The sequence below is a fragment of the Homo sapiens genome, chromosome 16 (assembly GCF_000001405.40).
Source record: "Homo sapiens chromosome 16, GRCh38.p14 Primary Assembly".
NCBI lineage: Eukaryota > Metazoa > Chordata > Mammalia > Primates > Hominidae > Homo > Homo sapiens.
Genome location: NC_000016.10, coordinates 54,741,816 through 54,748,100, shown reverse-complemented (window position 1 = coordinate 54,748,100; position 6,285 = coordinate 54,741,816). Strand labels below are relative to the sequence as shown.

General features: G+C 41.1%; 1 annotated feature.

Moving 5' to 3' along the window:
- Positions 1,156–1,680: an enhancer, noted in NCBI's record as "NANOG hESC enhancer chr16:54780333-54780857 (GRCh37/hg19 assembly coordinates)". NCBI's record gives its function as "activates a minimal SCP1, AML or CMV promoter by ChIP-STARR-seq in primed H9 embryonic stem cells {active_cell/tissue: H9 hESC(primed)}" and the evidence as "EXISTENCE:reporter gene assay evidence [ECO:0000049][PMID:30033119]".

Sequence of the window (6,285 nt, the reverse complement as noted above, 5' to 3'; positions counted from 1 at the left end):
TCATTTTTGTCTGGGAAAAAAGGAGTGAAAGACACAAAATGTTTTATGAAAATTGATCTTCTTTTATGACTATATGAAGGGAATGTCCTTCCAATGAAATAAGTGAGTTATATGCACAATTTTGCATATACTTGCATTTTTCTGAAGTTCATAGATTCCTTTAGATTTTCAAATGGGATCACAGCCTTCAAAATGTTTTTAAATTTTTAATTAGTAATTCAGTCAAACTTCTTTAAAATGTTTTTAAATTTTAATTACTAATTCAGTCAAATTTCTTTATAAACCAAGGCTTGTGGCGGGGGGGGGGGGGGGCGGGGGTTAAGTAAATTTACCCCACCATAGAACACATAGTAAAGTATCTTTGAAGTTATTTATTTATTTATTTTTTGAGGTAGAGTTTCGCTCTTGCTGCCCATGCAGGAATGCAATGGTGTGATCTCAGCTCACCACAACCTCTGCCTCCTGGGTTCAAGTGTTTCTCCTGCCTCAGCCTCCCAAGTAGCTGGGATTACAGGCAGGCACCACCACGCCCAGCTAATTTTGTATTTTTCTTTTTTTTAGTAGAGACAGGGTTTTTCCATGTTGGTTAGGCTGGTCTTGATCTCCCAACCTCAGGTGATCTGCCCGCTTCGGCCTCCCAAAGTGCTGGGATTACAGGCGTGAGCCACTGCACCCAGCCTGAAGTTATTTTTAAAAGTTTGTTTTGTCATCTGGAAAATGACCAAGTTTCCCTTGTGGTCCAGTCAATCCTCCGTATCCATGGGTTCTACATCCATGGATTCAACCAACTGAAGCTCAAAAATATTAGGGAAAAAAGTTGTTTCTGTACTGCACATATAGACATTTCTTTCTGTTATTGTTCCTTAAGCAATACAGTATAATGGCCATTTACACAGCATTTACTTTGTAGTAAGTATTACAAGTAATCTAGAGATGATAAAAGTAGACAGAAGGATGCACATAGTTTATATGCAAATGCTACTCCATTTTATATCGGGGACTCGGGCATCCATGGATTTTGGTATTCCAAAGAAGGTCCTGGAACCAATTCCCCACGGATATCAAAGAACAACTGAATTGACTTTAGTATTCACTATCCTAAGAATCCTCACAACCCTTTTTATATAGTGAGGGGGGAAAAGTCCACAGTTTTGTTCAATCACAAATGCACACTTAGTAAATTAAGCCTAAAAGATTCCCCGTACATGTCTTCTTTGTTCCTTTTGCATAAATCTCAGTTACAGTCTACTTCTTTGTAAACAGTGGCTAATCTTGCAGGAATGTTCTCTCCCTGGCTTAGGGATGATCTGCCTTTTCTGTCCAGCGTCCTCCTCACCTCCACCCCCAATCCAAAAGTCTTAACCTATCTCCCGTCCTTCAGAACCTATATAATTGTGTGTTCCTTTGTGATGCTAAAAACTAAGCTTTGTTTCTTCAGGCTTTTAGGAGGAACACTTACCTTAATCCTCTTAGGTCTCTGGGCCTTGAAGTGATAGCGCTTGGGATGGTTCAGGTTTCAAGGAGCAGGCTCTCCTGGGACCTGGTTAGGTTGACCTTTCCTGGGTGGGATTCCTGCCCTGTCACCCTTGTGGGGAGCACTTTCAAACGAGTTTTGGCTTCCATAATAGTTCCCTGCTTGGATATATAACAAAGGTGCATTTAAAAAAGAGGAGAAGGGGAGGGGCGGAGAAGAGAGAAGATTCAAATTACGATACCATGTTTCTACTTTTCTACTTTTTAAATACAACTGTTTTCCTAAATGTGGAGATTGGAGATGTTTTCCTTCCTTTTAATTTCTTTCTTTTTTTCTTTTTTTTTGAGACAGAGTCTTACTCTGTCACCCAGGCTGGAGTGCAGTGGTGCCATCTTGGCTCACTGCAGCCTAGAGCTCCTGGGCTTAAGCAACCCTCCCACCTCATCCTCTCAATTAGCTGGGACCACAGGCAGGTGCCACCATGCCTGGCTAGCTTTTTTATTTTTTGTAGAGATGAGCTCTCATTATGTTGCCCCGGCTGGTCTCGAACTCCTGGGCTCAAGCAATTCACCTGCCTCAGCCTCCCAAAGTGCTGGGATTACAGACATGAGCCAACAAGCCCAGCCTCTCTCTCTTTCTTTTAAGGTGTTAGATTCCTTTTTCTTTCATTGGAATCTGATATTCCCATTATGAGGCTGTGCATTTGCTACCAAGCTACACAGAGTTTCTGAACTGGCATTCAAAGCTCTTTGTAAGTCCCATATATCTTCCTGTTATTTGGTCAACAAACTAGTCCTCCGCAAGGTGCCTTGATGAAGATCTTCTTCATCCTGAAGTGTTTTTTAAGCACCTGCACTACCCAAGAGGTAGTAAGAGGTGCAGTTACTGAGCAAGAAAAATTCAGAAAAGTCAATGTTGAAATTCATTGTGTGTGTTTTAGACTCCCTTTGGCTATTATTTGGGATTTAGTGAAACTCATTTAATACTCAGTAACTGGCCTATCTTCCTAAGAACTAAGCCAATGTCTCTTGAAATAGAGTGTTCAGGCCTCCACTGGCATCACAATCATTTAGATGAACTCGTTGAAAATGCAAATTCTCATACCCCAGATCTGCTGAATTAAAATGTCTGGGAATAGAGACCGGGAACCTGCATTTCTGTCAAAGCTCCCCAGATGATTCTTTTGCAGCTGAAGTTTGAGAACCACGCTGCCTCTACTTTCCCAAACCCCTTCCCTTTTCAGCTTCTTTGTACCCATTCTAGATACACTCTAGTCCCTCCTTCCTGTCCTAGACGGCAGTGTCCCAGAGATAGGAGGTGCTGCGAACATCCGTTGATTTCGCCTGTTTGAGGGATGTTGGTTCCTCCCACTTCCGGTAATAGGTCTCAGATTTCCCTCTGGGGAACCAGCCTTTTCCTACTCTTAATCACGTGATCAGACAGGGACCCACAGCCTCACACCTTAGGGGTGGATATATGACCAGGCCTGGCCAACCAGCATGCTCCCTCAACCTCAGACCCCCAGGACTGGTTCATTGGTAGGCACATGACAAAGCTAATCCTAAGAGATACAACCTAGGGCTTTTGTTGGAAAAATTGAGAAAGAGAAAATCTCTTTGTGCTGGAAATGCTGGTAACAAGAGTGACATGAGCCTGGAACTGCTGGGGAGGAGGCAGGGTCACCTGGCTTCCACGTGGAGAGGTTCCACTCAAGAGTGCCACCGACAAAAGAGACAAACAGAGCTGAGAAATGAAAGAGGGTGGGATAAAGTCCTGTTGATGATCCTATTTTAGTCCTTGGATTCAGACATAGCTGAAAACAGACCTGCCTCCAGTTTTCAGTTCACTGAGATGGTATTTCCCCTTTTCTGCTTCTGCCAGGTTGACTTGAGTTTCTGACACTTCCCACAGAAAGAGCCCTGTTATGGCCAGGCGCAGGGGCTCACGTCTGTAATCCCAACACTTTGGGAGGCCAAGGCGGGTGGATTACTCGAGGTCAGGAGTTCAGGACCAGCCTGGCCAACATGGTGAAACCCCATTTCTACTAAAAATACAAAAATTAGCTGGGCGTGGTGGTGGGCGCCTGTAATCCCAGCTACTCAGGAGGCTGAGACAGGAGAATTGCTTGAACTCGGGAGGCAGAGGTTGCAGTGAGCCGAGATGGCGCCATTGTATTCCAGCCTGGGCAACAAGAGCAAAGCTCAGTCAAAAAAAAAAAAAAAAAAAAAAGAAAGAAAAGAAAAAGAAAAAGCCCTGTTATTGGACAAAAAAATGAAAATAACTGACCTCTTCCATGTTCAGCTTTGGTCTCGCTGAAGTCTAAGGGGGGCAGGACTTACAGTCAGTGGTAGTCAATAAAAATATATAGGGTGAATGGTCTGGCAGCCCGGGGATATGCATAATTCTTGGCTCCAAGAGTCTTAGATTGAGTCAAGGACTGAAACATTCTGTAAAATAGTTCTGAGCACGTGCTCTATCAAGCATGAAGGTTCTTATAGGGATAATGTGACAGAATATTTGATTTAGAATTTCATGGAAAATTTCAGATCATGGTCATTATACCCTTAGCTTGGATAACACATTTTCCCCAGACTTAATAACTTAGGTGTGACCCGCAGCTGATCGGGACACTCCAAATCATTATAATCACCCTACGTTTCTCCAGCTATTGTGGTGCCTACCTGGATTTAAGGAAAAGAAACAAGTTGGAGTCGTAAGTGTTGGAAGGGGAGTTAATGATTAAGAACAATGATTTTGAAGTCAGACAGAACCAATTCCAAGTCTTGACTTTATCAATTGCTAGCTACCTAACCTGGACAAGTTGCTTAGAGATTTTGTTTATAATATGGGAATAATAATGGCAACCTTGTGCATAAGTAACTGCAGGAATTAAGTGAGATAACGCATATAATCCAGCATAATGCCTGGGCCATCATGATTACCCAATTAACATTAGTTCCTCTTATTTTTGATCTCACTGTACCTCTTTCACATTTATGCTGCATTTTTACCATCTGTTGATGTGTTCTGTAAGTGTCTCCCTCACACCCTCCTTTCAGCCCAAACTTAAGCTTTTTGCAGTAGGCACATCTGTTAACCAACTATTGCTGGTTTTGGGTCTCTGGGCCTCAATTTACCCATCTGAAAATGGAGGCAGTGCAGGGAGAAAGGATATTGTTGGACTAGATGCTCTCTAATGTTTTTACTTCTATGATTTCTTCTGTGATTCCATGAACCATAAGTACTTGGTAACCAACTAACTAGACGTTCCTAGGAAAACACTCAGTTTTATATTACTTAATCCCTATTTTCATCAAGCTACTTTAAAATGTTCTTTTTTCTGCATAAGGAACTATAGGTGTGATTCTATATGTATGAATTTGGCCAAGAATCAGAATAACTTCTAGTGTATGCTTTATCATTTTACCACAAAGGCTATCAACTGGTAAGAATGTTCTTTTGAAGCTTCCAACTTAGAGGATAAACTGCATTTTTTAAAAAAACAAAGACTCCCATCATTTTTTTCATTTCTTTGATGCATATAATTCTTTTGACTTCAGCCCATTTCTCATCTTTTGGCAAATGACCAACTCACAGATTCCAAGCAATATTCAGAATGTATTCAGCTAAAACAAATCAAGTCCGACAGTTGTCACAGAAGCATTTAACCAAAATTACTTCAACATTTTAACAATGCTTGACGTTTTCAGGGATGTCTTTGAAGTACAGAGCTCCCAAAATATTTAGTGTTAACAGTTTTAGACAGGTGTTTTGCCAAAGACATGTAAAGATGTGTTGAGTGAAGATTATTATTTTGCAGTGAGTTTAGCCTCTGGAAAAATATTTATGTCTTAATTGGATGGAATTCCACCTGTCATTTTATCAAACACTTTGCTTATGGTCCATTTTGCTTGGAGTCCAAGAAAAATGAAAGTATTTTCGTTGTGAGAATTAATGTGACACATGTTTGGGCTTTGTGAAATCACTGCATTTGTTTGGTGATAATTATAAGAAAGTGTTTCAGGAACTTGAACTAGAGTTTGCAATTAGAATATACAAAATTGGTTTTGAAAGGAAAGCTTAAGAAAGAAGAGGATGATTACAAAATGTTGCAAAGGCCCTTTTATAGCAAACCAAAGTATGGAACTGAAAAATCACTTAATTAAAACTCAAGTGGAAAAAGACCACCAACCATTTTCTAGGGGCTTCTATCAATTTTAAGAATTAGTTTTTTTAGTGTCTGGTGCGTAGCAGGTTCTCAAAAAAGGGTAGCTTCCTGCCTTTCTCTCCTCTCTTTTCCCTTCTTTGACTTCATCGCCTTTCCCTCTCCAAGCTTTTGGTTATTTACAACTCAATTTCAACAAGGACTACTGAGGATAGAAAACAACTTAGCTGCTTTTCAGTCAATCTTTCAATAAGAGCAAGGACACCTTCCTTACTCAGAGAAGTTCTTCATGTGAGAGCAGCTGATGAAGGGGTAAGGCACTAACTCCATTGTCCAAGAGAAATGAATTTGGTCAACACTTCAGTGGGCTAAGGGAGATCTCTTGTGTACCTGATATGTTCTATTTAAGGACCAGCATGCATCAAATGTGTCAGCTCTGGGCAGATCTCAGCCCTATGGTCCCCTTAGAGATAGGCTTCTGAAGGAAGAAGTGGTCACAGGTAAGGTGTTTGAAGTGGGGGACAAGGGATTGCTTGTTGGGGTACTTTCTGAACCTCTAATTTTGGGTGGTGTTTTTCAAAAACCTAAACAGTAAGAGGCCCAATTCAAGTTAAAAAGCAAAATCTGACCATGTGCAGTGACTCAT